This window comes from Homo sapiens, chromosome 7 (genome assembly GCF_000001405.40).
Source record: "Homo sapiens chromosome 7, GRCh38.p14 Primary Assembly".
Taxonomy (NCBI): Eukaryota; Metazoa; Chordata; class Mammalia; order Primates; family Hominidae; genus Homo; species Homo sapiens.
The window spans coordinates 117,210,235-117,231,268 of NC_000007.14; the positions used below are offsets into that span (position 1 = coordinate 117,210,235).

Sequence of the window (21,034 nt, forward strand, 5' to 3'; positions counted from 1 at the left end):
CAGCCCCACAGCATCATGGTGATCTTTGGCATTGGGTTAGGCTTCGTGCTGGACACTGATGACCACTTCTTGATGGCCTTTGTGGGAGGGTTGGCTAAGAGCCACAGTTATCCTCCACTGGAACCAGACCGGCCATCCAAAAAGGTGTGGCAGTTATGCTTCAAACCAAGGACAGTGGCCATTGAACCCTGGTGTTTGCTAGGAGGTGTAGCATTCATGTATTAACGGATAAATGCTGGGTAGATGAATGCGGGCTTGTTCTCCATAGATAGTATTATTCCATGTAAGGAGAATAGGCTGTAATGGTGGGGGAGACATGCTCCCTGCATGTCGTCTAATTGGGAAGAGGAACCAGCAGCACGTGGCAGCTGCCTGTTGATTTTCAGAAGGGAGAGGTCCATGGGGTGGAGTGATCTTGGTTAACATTATGAGTCAGATGAGATTTGAACCAAGCCTTGAAGAAGTAGGACATTATTATAAGCAAGGACACCATGTGAAGAAATGGTAAGTGGTGGGGCTGTTTGAGAGGATGTAAATTAAGGAAAAAAGTCAAGACTATGAATTATTGGACAACAAGTGCATTGACATTCTGCTAGCATTAATTTTAGCAAAACAAGTACAATATGAAGCATGGGTTTCTTTTTCCACCCATGGGAAACTAAAACAAGAGAGTCTTCTGACAGTTGTTTCCTAGCTCACCCTTACTCTGATCAACCTCACAAACAAGTGTCTTTTTAATCCTTTCACTCTGTTTATCTTTACTGCTTCCATTTTCATTTTGATAATCTGCTCCTCCCTTTTCCGGCCCTTCCCTAACCCAGCAGGAGTCCAAGTTGGTGTAGGAAGGGAGGTTGGGGGAGCAAAATGGGATAGTGTAAAAATAAGCTACAGATGGGACTCAAAGTTGATTGAAAATTTTTGTTTCATTTTGAAAATATTTCTTTAGCAAATTAGCAGTAGTTCTGCTTCTATAGATTACTATTTATAACTTGAAGGAGGATTTTATCAGTGCCTCCGCCCCTCCTCAGTAAGTGTAATAGCACACTCCAGGTGCCTGCGTGGCACCAGCAACTGTATTTAAATGGGTTAAGACACACCACTCTCCACTCAGGGTGTGTGTGAGCATGGTCATGATTCCTTCTGGCTTGTGCTTCCTGTTGTATGTAAGATGTTCTATCAGAAAGGAAACACAATACATGTTTATTTAAGCATGAGAAAGAGACAGAAAAGCCCAGCAGGGTTGAACGGGAGAGGCCTCACCTAGTGTCAGTTGTGGAGAAATTAAATGGACAAGTTGGCTTACCAAATTTTTGTAGATTGGCATCTTAGAAATAATAATAGAAGCATCCATTGGGTCTCATAGAAAAGAAAGTTACCTGTCCCATAGAAAGGACCCAAAAAAGGGGTGGGGCAAAGGGTGATAAAGACATGGTATCACCATAGAAAAATGGCATCACCATAGAAAAAATAAAAATCCTATGAAGAGTAACTGGAAACTCTCTTTGGAAATTAGTTATCCATGTGGTCAGATAACAGTGGGGAGATGATCTGATCAACTGGAAGGATAATGAGATTAAAAGAAACATGAAGTGAAACAGGGAGCTACAAAGTCAAGCAGAATAGTTGTATGGGGATTTAATTTTCTCAAATTAAATTGGCAGAATGCTTTATTAGGATAAAAAGAGGGGGTGGGTTTTCAGGCATAACACAGTATGGCCAGGTACCTATAGGAAAGGAAAATTCTGCAGTTGATCCTTACAGATAGGCAGGAACCACTCTGGAGAAGTGTTTGTGAAAATCAGGTAACTGTGATCCCAGCCAAAGTCACTTACACTGCCATTCAGTTTTCACAGAGAGCCATAACATTCAATTTTAGAAAAGAGGACTGTGGAAGTGCTTACTATATGCTAAATGCTTGAGAATGCCACGAACCTTGAAGAGTGTTTGTTTAACTAGGTAATTTACAGAGGTTTTGCATTTACATCATTCACTCTTCCTGATAATATTCTGAGTTAGGCCGGACAGAGGTGGCCATCTCAATTTTTCAAGAGAGGAAACAGGTTCATTGAGATCGGTGTCTTGTTGAAGGTCCTGTGGCCACTGTTGGGGAGCCAGGATGTAAACCCAAGGTCACTTTTCCTTCACTGTACTGAACAACAGATTAAGAATACGAAGATTAATCATCTCTGAAACATTTGTTTGGAAGCCCACAATTGAAATTTACATCACTACTTACAGCATAGGGTGTATTTATTACACCTGATCTCTCTATAGTGTTTAGAAAGTTAATCATCCTATATAAAATTATATTTTGTTGTTTAATATTGACTTAAACATTTTAAATATCGAATGAGACCAATTTTATAAAATAAATAACAGGTATGTATAAATAAATGAAAGAGACTGGAAGTAAATAAGCCTGTTTTAAGTGATTACCACTCAATTGTGGATTTTAAGTAATTTCTTTTTTCTTCATATTTCTGTTTTTAAATTTTCAACAAGCATAAATATGCATATGTATATATACACATATGTATACACATATATTTAAAAAATAATATCTCATTACAGATGTTTTTGGTCTTTTAAAAAAACAAAGCTGTAAATATCATGCAATTTAGAAGAAAGAATTACCCCTCCAAACCCAGACAATCTTATCCAGTCTTTTGACATCGCTTCTGGATCTATGTTCATTATAAATTAAATGGAGGTTCAGAGCTCTGGATTTTCCATCAGATGACCTGGATTAGAATTCTGACTCAGCTACTTATAGTAGCATTTACTTAACTTTAGTAATTTTTAGAAACTGTGAAGCACTGATGATACTGAATGCCATACCCCACCCACCCCAGATTGGTGACTTCAGGAAAGTTGCCGCAGCTCCCTCTCAGGTCCGCTGGCCATGCATAGGAAGCCTGTGCAGGAGCAAAGGAGGCTGCACTTCCACCATTGTACCACTTGGTGGTGCCTTTTGACATCTCCAGCCTCATAGTTTAGGTTTTTCTCCTTTGAATCATTTTTATCTTCATTCTGAAATTTAGGACCATTCCCCAACTCCCTTCCAACTTCCCTTTTTCATTAGAAAGAAAATTCAGGGAAGAAGGTAACAGTACCTAATTTTACTGGGTTCCATGTTTAAAATGATTATTAGTAAATTTATTTTGGGAGATTTAAAACAAATTCTTAGTTTCTGTCAAAAGTGTTCTCTGGGAGTAGGGGTGGAGGTGTATTTTGTTTTGCTTTTTAATGAATTTGTTATGTTGGAACATTAGCCATCCTTAATTAGTGGACTTAAGTGAGTTTTCCACCAATCAAGCTGAAAAAAAACCTCCCATTTTTGATAAAACCCCCGAAGTCCAGCTGATGCATGGCAGAGATTGTTTGGGTTTGAAACATATGGTGGTTTTAAAAAAAAAAACAAAACTGAATCCTCAACCACAAATACATCAGCATTTCAAAGGTTTCCAAAATGTTTGATTCATCACTGTCCCAGCCCCTGAAATTACACAATACGTTCCTCAAAGTCAAGATAATTAAGAAAGGGCAAGAGTTTTAATTTACAAGATTTTATAATATGTTTCCAGTTCATTACATAGCTGCCACCTTATCTGAATCACATTTATTTGAAACACTGTTCTGGCGATCCTCACATACATGCACCACTGGAAGTATGAGTTGAACATAAAAAACATAGAAACGAAGGGTCTCGTTTGAACTGAGTCTTCTTCACTAGGGTATTACACCTATGGGGCCCTATTTTATTTATTTATTTTTTATTTTTGCTGGGGCCCTATTTTAAATGGCACATTTTCTGTTTTACCTGTATTAATACTGATGTGACTTTATCTCCTTCCTATCTTGATCTTTTCAAGGCTGTGTTTTGGCTGTATTTATTTTAGAAAGCAGGGTCGCCTGCCGACCACAACTGTGAACTTTAATTTTCTAGTTCTATATATCAGGAGGCTAGTCTGCCATGGGGTAAATCACTTAGCCTTTCTTTGTTTCCGTTTTTTTCTACTTGACCAAGTAAGACTCTTTATTTTCTTTTTAGAGATCCCCCCGCCCCAAAGAATCCACTAAATAATGTATAAGATTTGAGGATGGTGTTTTTTAGGGGAACTAAGGCAGAGTATTTCCTTTGAGAGGGGAAAATGGCCCATTGTTGAAGCGTAGGATGAGATTCTGATTCTAATTTATTCTCTTTGAACCTAATGGCAAATGCTGCTCACTGTAAGATGTGGTTCTTAGGGCATTTCCTCTAACCAAACCTTTCCTCCATAAGGCTGGCACCTTTTGAACTACCAAAGAGAAATTCCACCACCCTCCCCCATAGATCTAAGGCTAAATTCTGTAATTTCGGAGAAAGCAATGATAGGCTAAAGTCGCTGGTCATAGCTAACTTACCCTAATAGCCAGACTCCAGATATCATATGATGGTTCCCCACCTACTGCCCAGTAGAACCAACTTGCTCCTTTCCTTTATTCCGTCTCGGTGAATGGCTATCATATGGGTCCACCTGAGTTTTTAAAAAGGAATATTCTGTCTCTTCTTGATTGTGCGTTTATTCATTCATTACTTTATTCAACAAATATTTATTGAGTCCATCCTTTGTGCCAGGCATTGGGTTGAGGAGATCAAGATGAATAAGAATCTGAAATGCTTTGGGAAGAACATTTGTGTGTGTGTGTGTGTGTGTGTGTGTGTGTGTGTGTGTGTGTGTACAGTGTATATAAGCAAAAAATACACACACACACACCTCACATCAGATAGATAGATAGTAATGCTTGTATCCACACTATCTGTCATGACAGTAGGAACTGAGTATTAGAGTGGTGAGGGTCACTAAGAAGTTAGTGAGTCTGCTGTAAGACCCTAGAATTTCAGAGTAGAACATCATTTAATCCAACTAAGGGAAAGTGTTTTTCCCAAGGCCACACAATTAGGTAGTGACAGCATGTGGATCACAACCCAGCCTTTTGACTTTTGAATTTTCTTTATTGCTGCACCCAAATGCCTCACTAAAAACAGATGGCCTTCGTGGCTGGTTAGCTACATTGAACTTAAAAATAAGGACATGAAATTTGCGATTTGGTGATAATTTCCTGTTCTATCACTTGCATTTCTAATTATTAACAAACAAGCAGAATTTTTACTTATAAACTAGAGTATGACCTGACAGAGAAAGTAGGAACTTTAGGTTTAATAGAGAGGGATATGGGGGAAAGAGAAACCCAACCTTTACTGAGCAGCCAGGCACTATATGTGGATGCCTTGACCTCTGCTGTTACACTTAGTTCCTTTACCAGCCTTTTGAGGCCTGTGGTATTCTCATTTTACAGATGAAGAGACAGGGACACAGATTAACGACCCACGCAAAGTCATACGCTAGTGAGCCTAGGCAGGTCCTGCTCATCCTTTAGATGCCACTTTGGCCGCTTCTCCATTATGTACACACAGCACCATGACTCCCTTGGAGGTATTCATCACCGTGGGAACCTTTGCTCTTACTTTCATGATTGGATCCTGCTTCTGGCACTTGGTGGTGAGCTCCATGAGGGCAGGGGCAGTGTGTGCTGGGCTCACCTTTGTGTGCTTGTCACATAAGAAGCCACTCACCTTTTGTCAAGCAACTGATTATAAGAAGTAGAGCTGGGATTCAAACTCGGTTCCCTCTGTTACAAATAATCTGTATAAAATTATCTAAGATACTCTAAGATTGATTACATTCTATCCTTGCCTATCTAGTAGGTAGAGTAAGAAGAGGTCATTAGAAGTCATTGGGAAAATCAGGAATTAACTTGTTCATGTATCCATCCTTTTGTCATTTCTTTGGTTCTGTTTATTTTTCCCCCCAGTATCAATTGAGAATCTCTGACGGGAACAGCACTGATAGACTTGGAACCTAGAAAATGTGTCTGGTCAGGGATAGAAGAAGACAGCATTGTGCCACAGACTTGATTGTGAAGGCATGATCTGTTCTTTCACTAATTCTCAGTTTCATTTTGACCCTTCAGCAAATTCACAACCAAAATCAAGGTAGGGGAAGGGATGGCACACAGAGGAAAGTGCAGAAATATCATTTATATACCATGTATTCACTCTGAGTGGCCTAACTTTTTTGTTTTGTTTTTAACCCAATACATGTGTATTTTTAATTCCTCTGAAATTTGTGTTTTCTTAAGGATTTTTAGGTCTGTATTCATTCATAAAATAGATCTGTTCAAATGACCTTTTTCTATTCTTATTAGCACCACCAAATCAGTGTGTTTTTAATACTTAGATTCGCAAAATTTCTGGACATTTGGCAAAAGGCACAAGGCTGTCATGGAGCAGTTGCATGTCTTAGCAGTGAAAGGGACCAGGAGGTGGGAGGTGACGCTGGCAAGGCTTGTGCAGTGCCTCTACCGGCCTCTCTCTGGACCTCCCCTGCTTATCTCACACTTGACTGGGCCCTGCACTGCAGGGTGGGTAAAGGATAGAATTGCAAGCAGAAATTGTATTTGCTTTTGTTTAGTGAAGCCAAAAGCCTTAATATTATTTTTTGAGCTCAATGCAAATGGCAACTGACATGAGAGAGATTTTAAGAGCACCATAAGCATCTTTATAATCATGGGGGTGGAGGGCAATCCGGGAAGAGGGTGTGGGTGGGTGGGTGGCTGTGTGTACACATGCACTCTTTTTAAAGTTGTATTGTGTCTCTAACCTCTCCAAAAAAGACCAGAACCAATTAGAAAAAGGAAAAGGCCAACTTGACGCACAAAATTCTATATGCATGCCAAATATTGGAGTGAAAAACATGTAGCATTTGACTGAAAAGACACCAACCAACCATTAGATTTCTATGGTTGAACACTCTCAAGATCTTGCACTCCTGTATTTCATTTAAAAAATTACTCCCTGAAGTGCAAACTGACTTCAATTTTGAATAAAATTTAGCATTCAAATTTATAGCCACTTTGAAAACTGAGGGTTTATTTATATCATATGAACTTGAACAGATACTTAATTACAGCAACCCAGCAGCCCTTTGCACATGGAGAATCTGGATTTGGGAAAAAAAAAAACAAAAAAAAAAACTTCCCACGTAGGTTTTTCCACATTTTTCAGATGCTTTTGTAGCAGCCATCATTTATGGGAAATGGCATTAAAATCCTGCCGTAATGTAGTTTAAGTTTAAATTCAGTGCTTCCCAGAAGAGATTTTAGTGTATCCTATAAAGGCACTAAAAGGCTTATTTTTGTTTTTGTTTGTTTTTGTGGGGGGTGTTTTGTTCTCTTGAAAGTCTGGTTCTAATGAGAGAGATGTTGGTTCCTTGGAATGATCTTTGTGTGTTAACAACCTGTGCAAAGAACTCCTCTCTTGCTTGTTCTAGCGGGCAAAAGTCATCTTTGTTTGCGTGCAAGAAAAGGTCTGATTGAACTAGGGTGAGCCTTTCATTTTAAGCAGAGTTAAAGTCTGGGGTGTTTTTAATGTTTTAATCTCTGTTTAAGAGGTTTCTGTTATGAGAGGAAAATTGATAACATTTTTACCTCAGCAAACTGCCAGCAAACTGGCTCTGCTCTAATCCCACATTTATAGTGATTTATATTCTCCGTGGCAATGTGCTGTAACCTCAGAGTGATACCACTGCGGTGTAGATTGACTGCATTCCAAATGCTGGAATCACATACATAATGTTTTTACTTTTAAATAATATTCAGACACCAGAATAAATACCATATGTGCACTGATGCTGGTTACAATGGAACCTTGTCATTTCTTGTGAGGGAGAACATTCTTTGTTTCTGATTCCTGTTTGAAATAAGTATGCAAAAGATAAATATGTACATTGACAGCATTTTGAGAAGGCTCTGGTAGTTACACAGCTGAGGATGTAGCTATGATTCCTTGAAATGTATCATTTAAAACTAAAAATATTGCTGCATGTTGCCCCCATCCCTCACTACCATACATGAAGGCAAGGATTGTTATCTGACATTCCCAGAGTAGGGTAGAGCTTTTATATTTTATATCTACAGCAGGCTGTAGTAAGAGGACATCTGTTGAAGAAAAATTACCTCCGTGAGTACTGTTCATAGGAACAGTGAGACTAACATGCTGATGACATTGTAACAGGGAGAGTAACACACTTGATCATGGGAAAGGATGGATTGATTGGAAAGCCGTAATTCAGTGTGAGCCCTAATGTCATCTGATGCTACAAAAGCAGAATTTAGGTGGCCTAACATCATCAAAATACAGATAATTAATCTCTCCAGATCAATTTTCCCACATGATAAAAGTTAAGATTTAAACTTTTAATAAAGTTTAGAAACACCTCCCGAGTTATACATTTTTAGATTTTTGTTTTTATTCATCTTGATTGGAATTCAAATCCACTTAAACAGTATTTTTTAAATCAATTTGGTAGAATACCTTTCATATTTGTACATCTATACAAACTCCAACAAGTCGATCCACATTTGCTTCTTGGGGAAGCATTTTAATCCACGTTTGCATGATTACTATTTGTTTAGCTATATTGAATTAGTGCCCATAACATTTTAATAATATTTAGTAGATGATGAAACCCTGGGCATTGATACTGATGGCTTCCCAACCCCTCTGCACCTCTGTCCCCACCCAGTTTTGTGAGGTTTGCTCAGAATATATAGTGTGAGATGAATGTGTGAGTAATCCATCACAATTTATCTCTGACATTTCATCTGGCACATAGCTTGGTGGGGTAAGCCTTGCCTCCTTTGTAGAAGTGTTCCCTGTTATAAAAATGCTCAAACGCCCCTTTTTGCAGTTGGGAAGTTATGACACAAACATTGGACATCTCTGACATATTTTTTCTCGTTTTCAGCTTTTCGGATGATCCCTTATCCCTTGGAAAAGGGGCACCTATTTTATCCTTACCCAATCTGTACAGAAACAGCAGACCGAGAGCTGCTTCCATGTAAGTCTCACCTCTCTTCAGCCAGTGAGGGTGTGTGGTGAAAGGTGGGGATTGGAAGAGGTGGGAATATCAAAGTTTAGAATGCTCCTTGTCTTTTATTACTTTTCTCCAAACCCCTGTCCTTGTTTGATAGCATATGTATTAAAGTGAATTATGTGAGTGGGTTTGGCTTCCTTTTCCTCCAAGTCTCTCCAAATTTATCAAAGGGAAAGATGCCAAAGGATTGAAATGTAGCTGAAGAAACCCTATGTACTGATTGGCCTGAGCACAGAGACCCCTGGTTTGGGCTGGTGTCTGCTGGGCTGGTCCATTGTGAGGGTTCTGCCTGGGCTCTTCAGCTGGACAGATGTGGTCTGCACCGACCGGAGTTTGAAGAGGAGCTGCTGACTGAGAGGGAGCTGCGCATGAGTCATGGGTGGGAGGCCAGCACCAGGAAGCTGGCACCATGGCCAGATGTGGAGTTGTGGGGCAGGGCAGTGTGCTGTGTGGTGAGGCTGTGCTCTGGCAAGAGGGATTTCCCGTGAGCACCTCGTGGGTTGCATGTAGTGACTCGGAGTACCATGTGCAGAGCACACGTGTAGCCTCAGCACTGTATGAAAGCACACAAAAGAAAACCCTGCCCTCGACTACCTTACACTTGCTAGCAGTCTAATGACCCATACCACATGTGGAAAATATTATTTTGCTTTGCTGTAATACAACATTGTTTTGACAATTCAGGCTAAATGGTTATTATCAAATCATACTATGTACAAGGATCATGTCAGGCTCTTCATGTGGCCCAGACTTAGGATATATTTTTCTCCCTCAGATAATAAGCTCCAAATTTTAGCTCTTCTCCCTTCTCTGTCCTCTCTCCTGCCATCTCTGCCCTTTCACCAGCCCCAGTTATATCAATATCTTATAGCTGTAACATATAAGTACTTTCCCCAGAGGAACAGTGTAACCTTAGAGCCCTGGGTGCATAGTAAATTTCCAAACACCAGCATCATCAAGCCAGTCATGAATCTCCAGCATGGTGGGATCTGGGTGCAGAACTCAATGGCTGTCATCAGATTGAGGTAGCAGGAGTTGCTCACTTGCCTTCCTGCCAGCCAGACCCAGTGCGAGATTTGTTACTCAGGGAACTGGGAGATCCCCGTGATGTGTTTCTCACCGTTCGAGTTTGATTGTGAAAAGAGTCTGGTACCTCACACATTAGATTTGATTTCAGAAATCCTCACCGTGGGCCCATAGTTTACCTTTCAACTCCCCCTTCAGGGAGATCCTTGTTAAGTTTCGGTTTTCTGGTAAGAAAGGCAGTTTTCTGAAAAGTACAGTATTTTTAAATGTTTTAATCGAGTCCAATTAAGTTTCCATGGGGATAGATTAGTTATTAGAACAAGATTACAGTTCTTAAGAGAAACCTTATAGGGATAATCTTTATAAGCCTGAAATAGGAAATTATGGCTCACATTAATTGAATGCAGTGCTCCAAGTCTGGTCTCCCTCCAAAATCTTTTTTGGTTGGATGTTAAGGGTGAGGATATGAAGAAGGTAGGTTGTTTTAAGTGCTACCCATAATTTGCACATTAAAAGTATAATTATAGCCACACGAGGCCCTGAGCACACTTGTTCCGTGTGTTTGAATCCCAGCAGGCTGACCTACCTGGATGTAGTAGGCATATTCGTCTGCATGGAGTTCCTCCTGGATTCCCTCCACCCTCAGTATTAGCCTTGTGGATTACTGTTGAAGACTCTGAGGAATAGGAGCTGAATGGTAGAGGAAAGGCCTCTAGATCTTGTATTCCCTGAGGACCATGGAGCCCTCTGGTCCTCTTGGTTAGAGTGGGCTGTTTCTCACGTGCAGTTTCACAGCCTCTCCCCCAGCACCCCCAGCAGGTGGCTCTTTCTCCTCCTGCAGGCCCGCCCCATCGACCCAGGCAGTCTCTCAGGCAGCCTCATCATGAGCACAGAGAAGGAGGCGATTCTCTTGACCTCTGTACCACAGCTTTTTGGTTTTCCCAAACCCAATGTTTGAAATATAATATAAAAATTATAGAGGGCACTCTAAAGAGCACCAGCTTTTCTTGTTTTTTTGATGATTGTTGGAAGTGTATTTGTCATCAAGAGTCTCTTACAATTGTGCCAGATAACCCTAGCAGTCTTGACCTTCCCTCCTTGCAGTTTGAATAGACCTACATGTGAGGTCCTTGCTGGATATCTCTCTATGAGGGTGGCACCCTCCACTGATATACTTAGAGGGTGCCAGGAAAAAATACAGGAGAAACTAGTATCATCTCATTATAATGATTTTTTAAATACAGGAAGGAAAAAATATAGACGGGATACCTTTTTTCCCTGTATACTCGGTTTTGGATTTTCCAGGTTTTGTACAATGAACACGTGTTTTGTAATTTGAGTAAATTACAAATTGTTTCAGCTGTGTTTGCTTTTGAGAAAAAAATACTATACATTAGGCATAGGCGGTGCTCCTCTTCCCTCCCATGAAGGCGTGACACCCTCAAATCAGCCCCCTCCTGCCTCAATTTAGAGTGCTGAAGGCTGGATGGAGACTTGCGACCAGCAGATGGGCCTCCAAAGGCTGGGTCAGATGTTGGCTATGGTTTGTCAGGTGTGCTATTTTTTCATTTCCCATAGGCTTCCAACTCTTTCCCAAGCTCTGGAGTCAGTGCCACCATAAAGACCTCCCCTGAGAGTGCAGTTTACTCCAGCCCTGATATTTCCCTTTTGGTCTTCTCCACAGCTTTCCATGAAGTCTCAGTTTACCCAAAGAAGGAGCTTCCCTTCTTTATTCTCTTTACTGCTGGATTATGTTCCTTCACAGCCATGCTGGCCCTCCTGACACATCAGTTCCCGGAACTTATGGGGGTCTTCGCAAAAGCTGTGAGTGTTTGCCTAGAGGGAGGCCTTGGGGAATGGATGGGGAAAGCCAAGGGCATAAAAGCAGCGTGAGAGAAATGGGGTTGCCTTACAGAAATGGGTACGAGCCTGCAAAGATCATTGCTCACCATTTAATTTTCATGATCGTCAATGGAATCAAAGCATTAAGGGTCAAATGAGAAAGTGCAGGTTGTTACTGCATGCCTTGCCTCATTTCACAACAAATTCTTAGCAGTTTCCAAAAAATGCAGGAGGTCCAAAAGGATGGAATGATTTAGGAAATCCTAGCAAATGAAAATGTGTGGGAAGTTACTCGGTTTTCTGTAAATTGAATGACATTATTTCCAATCGTTGGATATTGTGGGTCTTTCCTTAGTGAAGGATGAGATTTACATTTTCAAAGATGATTTAAATAATTTTTTTTAATGGCTGCAAACCCTTGGCTTGTCTAAGGAATGAACAGAGGGTGTAAAGGGCTTATTAAGAAGTAAACTGAAATGACATTTAGAAATATGGAAATCCATTAAGAGTCTTTAAGGAGCTTGGGGAGAGGAGCTTTAATAAGAAAAGCCATCTGCATTGACAGCCAAGAACCATTGTTTCTTTGTTGAAAACTGACCATTTCAACCTGCACATGCAGTTGAGGATAAGTTTACTGATCTTGCCACAGATGAGTTTCAAACAGAAGGAATAAGGAAAACAGTATCAATTGTTTCCCTGGAACTCCATTCAGATTTCAAGGCGAGTGCAATCAGAAAGGATGATTTCTAACTTGGCTGGGTTGATTTAATCCCTTTCCAGATGATTGACATTTTCTGCTCGGCAGAGTTCAGGGACTGGAATTGCAAGAGTATTTTCATGCGTGTTGAAGATGAACTGGAAATCCCTCCGGCACCTCAATCTCAACATTTCCAAAACTGAACTCATCACCCCTCTTCCCCCACCACCAAAACTGCTCCTCCTCCTGTATTCCTGACCTCCGCCATCCACCCCGTTGCTCAAGCCGGAAACTCGGCAGCCCTTCCAAACTCTTCCCTCTCTCACTCCCCACATCCCATCGTCTCGGCCTTCACAATCTGTCAGTTCTAACCTCCTAAGCAACTAGGCCTTCAGTAAATGTGATTCACCTCTTCTTTCCCTCCTTTTCCCAAAGCATCCCTCTTAGTCTAGGTCCTTGTTGTTTCTTGCCTGAACTCCTGCCATAGTCTTAACTGGTCTCCTTGCTTCCTGTCTTATCCTCCACCGTCTTTCTTTTATACTGACACAAGAATGGTCTTTCTGAATTGCACATGTGAGCATGTCACTTCCCTGCTTAAATTTCTCCAGTGGATTCCCAGGGACTTCAGGATCAAGTCCTAGTTGTTCAGCATGGCATCCAAGACTCTTTATGATCTGGCCCTTGCTTACCTCTCAGCCTTAGCTCTCCCAACTCTTGCACAGTCACTGCTCTTCAGCCATAGTGGATCACTCACCATTCCCAGATGTACCAGGCTCTCGCACACCTCTGCACCTTTGCACGTGCTGTTTGCTGTGCGTGGAATGCCCTTCACTGTCACCACCCTGCTCATCCACTCTACTAATGCCTCTTCATTCTTTTATACTCAGCTTTCTTTAAAGTTCTTCTAAGCTGAGTTAGGTGTCTGTCCTTTATGATCCCGCAGTATTCCATGAATACGTATATTCTCACATTTATTGTACTGTATTATAATTGTTGAAAACTTGTCTGTCCCATTTAGAATGTGAGCTCCTTGAGAGCAGAACGGTGTCTTCATTATCTCTGTATCCCCAAGGCTTTGCACAGTGCCTTGCTCATAGTAGGTTTTCAATAAATGATTATTAAATAAATAATAAATGGTAGTGGTCTCTGCAGAAAGAATCAATGGAAAAATCAGATACAGCTTAGTATTTTTTTTTCTCTTCTTGTATACTTATAATCATAGCCTCTTAGAGTTGAAAGGGACCTGAAGCAAATTGCCTTTAATAGCAACCCTGAGTGGAGGTCACCTAGACTCATCTTGAATACTTTCAGTGATGGGGCACTCACATATTTATAAACATCAAAGCCCATTTGATTATTGGATGACTCAGAACTTTTCCTTGTACTGTAAAAATCTGCCTCCCTTTGGTTTCCACTTATTCCTATTCTATATTGAGGGTACACCAAGCAGCCCTCCTTCCTCTTGCAAATTCTTAGGACAGCTCACTCATTCATGGCCACCTCTAACCAACTACCTGCTTTTTCCTCCAGGTAGAATATCTTACATTTCCTTAAGTCTTCTGTGCATGACATGATTTCTACACCCATTATCACCCATATTGCTGCCTTGGATGTTCCTTAGTTTATGGGCCTACACTACTTGTTATTTTCTTCTACTCCCTAGCCAATCTCTGAGTAAAAGTAGTTGCCAAAACTCTGAGTAGAGTGTGACTTAGTAAAATTTAAAATAAGAATATATTTACATTAAACAATTATTGCTCTTTTATGTTTTCTGTTTTTCTGTTAAACATTTTTAGAGCATATTTGTAAAAATATGTCATTAGTCCAGTATTCTTCATTAAACTAACTGTAATAGCACTTGGTGGGAGTTTTGAATCAGTAGAGATTCCCAGCCTCCAGTCTATATATTCACCTGGCCGCACCACCAGAAATCCAAAATCTTGAGTATTAGCAGGAGGTATCTGTATTTTTCACAAAGCCCCCAGCATATTCTGAGGATGGAGATTGATGGCATTCTCCCGTCTCCTTCCAGGGACACTGCTTGGAAAGCTGAACCTTCGAGCAGCCACTTGCAGCTGCATGGTGTGCCATCACAGCTGTTCAGGTGGAAGCTTTTCAGGAATCAGTGGTTTCCCTGGCTCTACCTTGGAATCATCGAAAAACTTAAAAGTTACTGAGGCCTGTCCCCACAACCGGAACTTTCTTGGTCTGGGGTCCGCATGGGCAACTCAGTTGTCAAGCACTCCCCTGGTGATGCGGATGTACAACCAGTGTATTGAATAGAATGAATAATTGCCTGAGCCTGCTTTAACCAGCAAGGGGATTGGCAATGCAGAGGGAAGGATAGTGACTAGAATACACCTGGGTGTTCTCTAGGACTGGCCGTACAGCTGTGCTTCCAGAGTATCGGAGAGGGGTGTTCATTAAGGATGTGGGACAGGACTCAACTCGCCTCATTTCATGTTTTCAAAGCTTTGGTTTTGAGTATAGCATCAAATGATTGAATAAAATAGAAATCTGCCTTTAGGGTCCTCATATTTTCTGCTCTACCAAGGTGTGGTAGTTTGGTCAGCTCCCCATAGTTTTCAAATGTACTTTAGATAAGTTTGCATTTCAACCTCTATCTGGAGAATCACATTTATCTTGCCCTTCATTAAGGTCTAGCAGTTTCCAAAATGTCTGTAGAGACTGTGTGGGGAAGGAAGATGGATGGCCTGAATGAGACAAGCCCCTTCTCCCGCCGCCTCCTCGACCTGCCCCCAGAGTCTTCTCTGCATCTTCACCCTGGTCACTTCATCAGGCCCCTCCCGAAGCTCCCACGCCACACCCCACACCCCGCAGGTTATCGCAACTGCCCTAGAGGCTGCCTGCGACCATTTGCAGCTTGTGAAAGTGATTTTCTCAGCCCTTTGCTGAGATAATGTCCCTGGGACAATGACCTTTAGTAGATGCAGAGAGATTGCACTGCCACCCCCAGCTGCTGGCTTGGGAACTCTCCAGCATGTTTACTTGGTGACCATGATGTGCAGTCCATAAGGAAGCCCACAGGGAAGCGTGAACCACTGGGAAATAGTGGAAAGAGCAGCTTCCACTGGCATTTCCCCCTAATCTAATCTACCTCAGTGATTTAGGACTAACTCTTCCTAGAATGTTTAGTTACAAAGATAAGCTTGCACATATAAATACGTTATCATTCCAAACCCACCTCCTCACAGAATGTGGGAAGGTCAGGATTCTGACCCCTCTGTCTTTCCTTCTCTTGTCTCTCTCCTTCTCCGAGACTGAGCCTCTTGATTTCTGACTCTCATGTTCACTTATAGTCCTCGACCTCTTTGAAGCCTGATATTGATTACCGTGAAATGTCAATTGTCTGATTGCAGTAGGGCACCTGGAAGTTATTCAGATAAGCAGAGGCGTTTTGAATGTTAATGAAGCCTGTTGGGAGCCGTGACCTTCTAAGTGATGGTGTTTCAGGAAAAGGAAGATCAGGCAATTGAAATGTCGTTCTCTTTTTTTACTAGTTCAGTTGCTTTTTCTCACCACGAGACACTCATTGAATCCTAGGGCATTTTGATTAAAGATATGACCATGTATCTCTGCCCTCTGGACAGTTTTAGACATCGAGATAAATAGGCTGTTCCAGGTTTTCTTGGTGTTGCTCATTCAGACTTAACTTTTCAGCAGTAAATTTCCCCCTAAGTCAAGTGAAAACTGCTGTTTCTCCTTCTATATTGGTTGGGTCTCCAACTAAAAAATATTGACTGATTTTCAAACATGCGCAGAAATACAACTGAGCATCCCAAGCAAGTCTGCACCTCCAGACATTTTTTAAAAAATATCTCCTGATGGAGCTTTTATTTGGTTATGAAGTGAAAGGGCTTAGCAGCTTCAGACACCTCACTACATTGCCTGCTCCTTCCTTGCAGGTATGGGATGGAAGGCTTGCTGTGGGGGAAGGTGGCTTAGTAATGAAGGGAGCCCATCTCAACTGGGGCTCGTGGGAGAGTAAATTAGGCCCTCTAGGAAAAAGTTCAAGGGAGTCTTTGTGAATTCTCCCAAGGATGGAACATTCTAGATAGGAGGGATAGAAGCAAATCATTCTATACGTTGGAAGCATTGGGGCTTCGTATTCTTGTGGAACCTTGTTGAGAAGGGCAGGTGTCATCCAGGAAAGAAGGGACCACAGTACTTTGCTGTGCAGCATGGGGAAAAGGGAGCATTTATGGACATCAACCAGGATGAAGCTTTCCTCCTGATTTTCAGAGGCTTCACTTTTGTGCTTTTTATCCAAGTCAGGTTAGTGCCCAAAACAAAGCAAACAAATAAAGGCCTTTATTTTAAGCCAACCTTGTAACATCTCCATTCATTCTACAGCTCAAGGTGAGGCTCCCCGAGGACCCCACATTTTAGTGTGTGTGCATCACCCAGAGTACAGACTTTGAGCGATGCCTGTTATCTAGCTGCGCTGGCTCATGTTCAGCAGTTGCAACAGCTCCATGGCTGCAATGGCTCAATATCAGCAGTTCCTTCCCCACTCAACCACAACTTCAACAGTTCTAAATCTGTTTTTGGCCAAGTCTTCAGGATATAACTTTGCCAGCAATATCACCTTGTTTATTAAGCCCTATCTTCCACCACCTGTCAGAATCTCTGGTTTATCGAGACCACTGTAACACTTTAACTCCTCTTTATGAAGTTGAGCATTATAGACAGATGCTGTGGTTTGTGGAGCCTTGGTAGTCTCTGATTATATATGTGTCTGTGTATGTAGATATACATATACGCAGACATATATAATTATGTATGTACACATATTATGTGTGTATTTCCTATCATGTTGGGTGAATGCAATCAGTAGACTTGTTCCATATTATCCTCTTATAACTAGGATTTTACAAATGCTTTCAGAGTAATTGGGCAGTAATTGCTCATTCCCAGGCCCATTGTCTCCCATGATGCCTTCCAACTGCATTCATGGGTGCTCCCAATCCAGCTCTAAACTGAAAAAGATAGGCCATCTATTCCGTAGGGTGGTTTTGTGCACTCAACAAAGGATAATTTCAGAAGATTATCAGAAACTGCCATGTACCTGGCACCCGCTTGAGGATGGCACCGTCTCCTCTTTGCTCAAGCACTGACATGGCTGCCTGTTTCTTAACTGCAGATCCAACCTGACACGCAGGGCCCTCCCCAGTATCCTTCTAGCCACTTTTGAACTCTACTTCTTCTAACTGTCCTAGCTAAACTGAACCATTTACTACCTTCTGGTAATAGTGTTGCTTTTCCATTTCTCTTTGACTGTTTATTGAGCCTGGAGGGCCCACCCTGCTCCTATTTCTTCCTTTACCATCCTTACTCCATCTCTCTCTTTTGATATTCCAAGCATCCACTGGAGTCCATTTCACTTGCCTCTTTCTCAAAAGTATTCCTGCTCCTTTCAACAGAATGGATTCTCTCCCTTTTCCAATCCCAGTGCTTTGTTTGGGCCTCTATCCTGATTGCCATCACAGCCTATCTCATTATTAGTTTGCTCTGTCCAGATCTTCGTGGCCCCCTCCATCACTGGGCTTTGAGCTTCCTGACAGTGGGAGTTTAGTTTTGAACTACACCCCTTTATATTTCACCCAGCACTTAAGTGCCTTACTAAATAAATACATTTAATTGGTGTAAAACACAGATTGGAGAAGGATCCCAAATTTTACGCTGTCTTGATTTTGCATTATATGGATCTCGCATTTGATGATCTGGCTATTTTGTGTTACCTGCCTTCCCAGTGTGTGTTCTACTGGTCCAAAAACAAAATGAAACAACAGGACAGATTCTGGGTCAGCAAATTTGGGAAACTTGCCCACCATACCTCTTCTCGAAGACCCACAGTCCACAGAACATTTACCTAGTAAAGGAGCCTGATTTAACTTTATTAAATATACTAAATTTGCTTGACCTCAGAACTATGATCCCCTCTGCATTATATACACACACACTGCACTACACTTCTATGAGAAATTCTTGGTAGTGTAGATGGTGCTGTGTAATGGACAAGGGCTTAGGACAAAGGGCTCCATGGTACAAGAACCAGGTGTTGAACCCCAGTAAGACAATACCTGGGTTCTGAGCAGAGAGAGGGCAATGAAACCATCCCAACAACTCTCTCTTCCCTGACTGGGATAGGGCACCTCTTCTGCCAGATGCTGGATGGGGTGTGGAATGAAACTGATTCTTCACAAGAACAGAATTAGAATGGATTTGAGAATATTTTAATAAGTATCTCATGTGAAGCACTTGGCTTTCTTAAAAGACACAGCTAATGAGCTTTATTCTCTACATGAAAAGCAGAAAGGAATTTAGTAACCAAATGAAAGAGTTCCCAGAGGTGCACTCGGAACAGCCCCTTAACAAGGATCTGTCCTCCATGGAATAGCCCGTTTGCCGCCTTCTCCCAGGGTCCCAGGCATGCTGCTAAACATGTGGCTCAGAAAGGAGCCCACGCTGGTGTCTGGGAGGCAGTAGGACCGCAAAGAAATTCATACACAACACACTTGACCTGTAAAATTGCCATTTCCATTTAAAGTGAGCTCTACACCCAGCTAGATGAGCAGCTGGTCTAAGTTGTCACCATTTTTTAACTCTTGTGCCCACTTGCCACCAATCTGTCATTCCTGTTTGACGACACCAGTCATCTGCATGGCAGCTGGCAGATGCTAAAGACTAGCAGGAAGACCTCAGGACTGTGGGCCACCTGTCAGGGGAGTGAGGGGGCTGTCAGCTGACACTTCTCCCCCTTATCTAACAGTGCTGGGGCCAAGGACTGGAATGCAGGTTTGACCATCAGCTGATGTTTCCTGTAAACATAAAGATGAAATGGTTGCCTTTTGAGACTTTCGTAATGCAGAGACTTAAGCTGCAAGCGTGGGTGGAGAGGTTTGTTTTATAGTCTTGAACAAGGTTTCTGCTGACTTCTGTGTCTGTCTGGTTTCTTTGCAGTTCCTCAGCACTTTGTTTGCCCCCTTAAACTTTGTCATGGAGAAAGTGGAGAGCATCCTCCCATCCAGTCTGTGGCACCAGCTAACACGGATCTGAGAGAAGCCCTGTCCTCCACTCACCTCACCCGCCGCTGCCACCATCTCCTCTGTGCCAACTCCTTGTGGACCGCAAGAAAGCATGACTTTGAAAAAGGGAAGCCATTCCGAGATTTTAAAATGTTCATGGACTATTCCATATTAAAAGCTGTTTTTGTTGTACAAAATTCACTGATGTTCAGTTCTATTTTATTTTGCCTTCAGAAAAGAAGAAAGTCAAAAATAAAACTTTTGTGTATTACAGCAATCATTTGTATCCTCCTGTGTCTTCCAACCCTAAAATTGTTGATGTCCCAAATAAACCTTTGGATTTACCTTGAGTTTCCTGGGAACCTGGATCTACTGAATGCCACATCATGGTTTCTGTGCTGATGGAACACATCTCAGCAGGCCCTGAGAACCCCTTATAGGCAGAGGCTTGGAAAATGGAATCTCTTGGGTTCAACAGGACCATCATTGTCAACCCCAAACTGTCCTTCTAGGCCAAATGCACAGAAAAAGCTCGCAAGAGGAATCACTGGAAGCATGAATGAAGCAAAATGTGTGTGCCATGGCAGGTTGTTCTGGTTCAGAGACTCTACTTACTGAATAGTGTTCAACACTGTAGTTCCAGGAATCCTTTTGGTTTTGCTGTTTGAAAACTTCTTGTGAGAAAACTCCTGATAAGAAGCCGCAGACCCAACAGTCTGTGGTAGAACCTGACCAGTTTACTGTCATTGCCATTTTTAAAATGTTTTCTCGTAAGGGTACTTTTAAATTTTTTATCATGTTTGCATTCCTGATGCTTCAGTGTGAGCATTCTTTGAGTATTTTAGTGATCTGAACCAAAGTGATCATTTGTCCTCACCACCTTTAAAAGCTTTCCATATGATTCATATCTTGCTTAGCATCTGGCTTTACTTAAGCAAAAAAAAAAAAAAAGAAAAGAAAAGAAAAATAAATAAACTTGAATCCTCTATCTAAAGTGAAAAATACCACTATTTAAAATCTCACTCCAGTGCCTAAAAACAAAGGGCCTGTCCTTTATGTAGCTTGTTTTTCCCCTTATTGAGAATCTGAAGTCTTTCCCCACTAGTGTTAAAATAAGCAGTATTCGGGGAAAGCACCTGGCCACATCTCCTTCTCAGGGGATCTTCCTGCTGGCCCCAAGAGCATAGTCAGGTGGGCAGGTAACATTTAGGTGCACAAGGGCTTTTTATGCTTTTGGCAAACCCTTCTTTGTACCTACTTTGTACAAAGCCCTAATGGGATATGTAGCTAGCTCCGGCTCTTGAAGTATCTCATAAGAGCTTGAACTCCATGTACACACACTGGTAGCACTGCTCTTGGCAGGGGCCAGGTCTATCTTGTGGATATCTGCTCTTGGTGGCAGGAGCCAGGTCTGTCTCGTGGATATCTGCTCTTGGTGGCAG

General features: G+C 41.7%; 1 protein-coding gene across 17 annotated transcripts in view; it reads left to right on the forward strand.

The window, feature by feature from the left end:
* ST7 (suppression of tumorigenicity 7) overlaps positions 1-19,942 on the forward strand; it is a 276,676-nt gene extending 256,734 nt beyond the window's left edge. For 15 of the 17 annotated variants that reach the window (NR_161420.1, NR_161421.1, NR_161422.1 and 12 more), the window contains 3 exons: positions 8,850-8,942; positions 11,689-11,828; positions 19,528-19,942. Coding sequence is in view for 11 of the 17 variants with exons in the window: in NM_001369607.1 (NP_001356536.1) it covers positions 8,850-8,942; positions 11,689-11,828; positions 19,528-19,623 (329 nt within the window). In the remaining 6 variants the exon portion in view is untranslated. Of the gene's footprint in view, positions 1-8,849; positions 8,943-11,688; positions 11,829-12,626; positions 13,674-19,527 lie in introns of those variants that run through there. The other 2 variants (NM_021908.3, NM_001369604.1) reach the window with 1 other exon arrangement.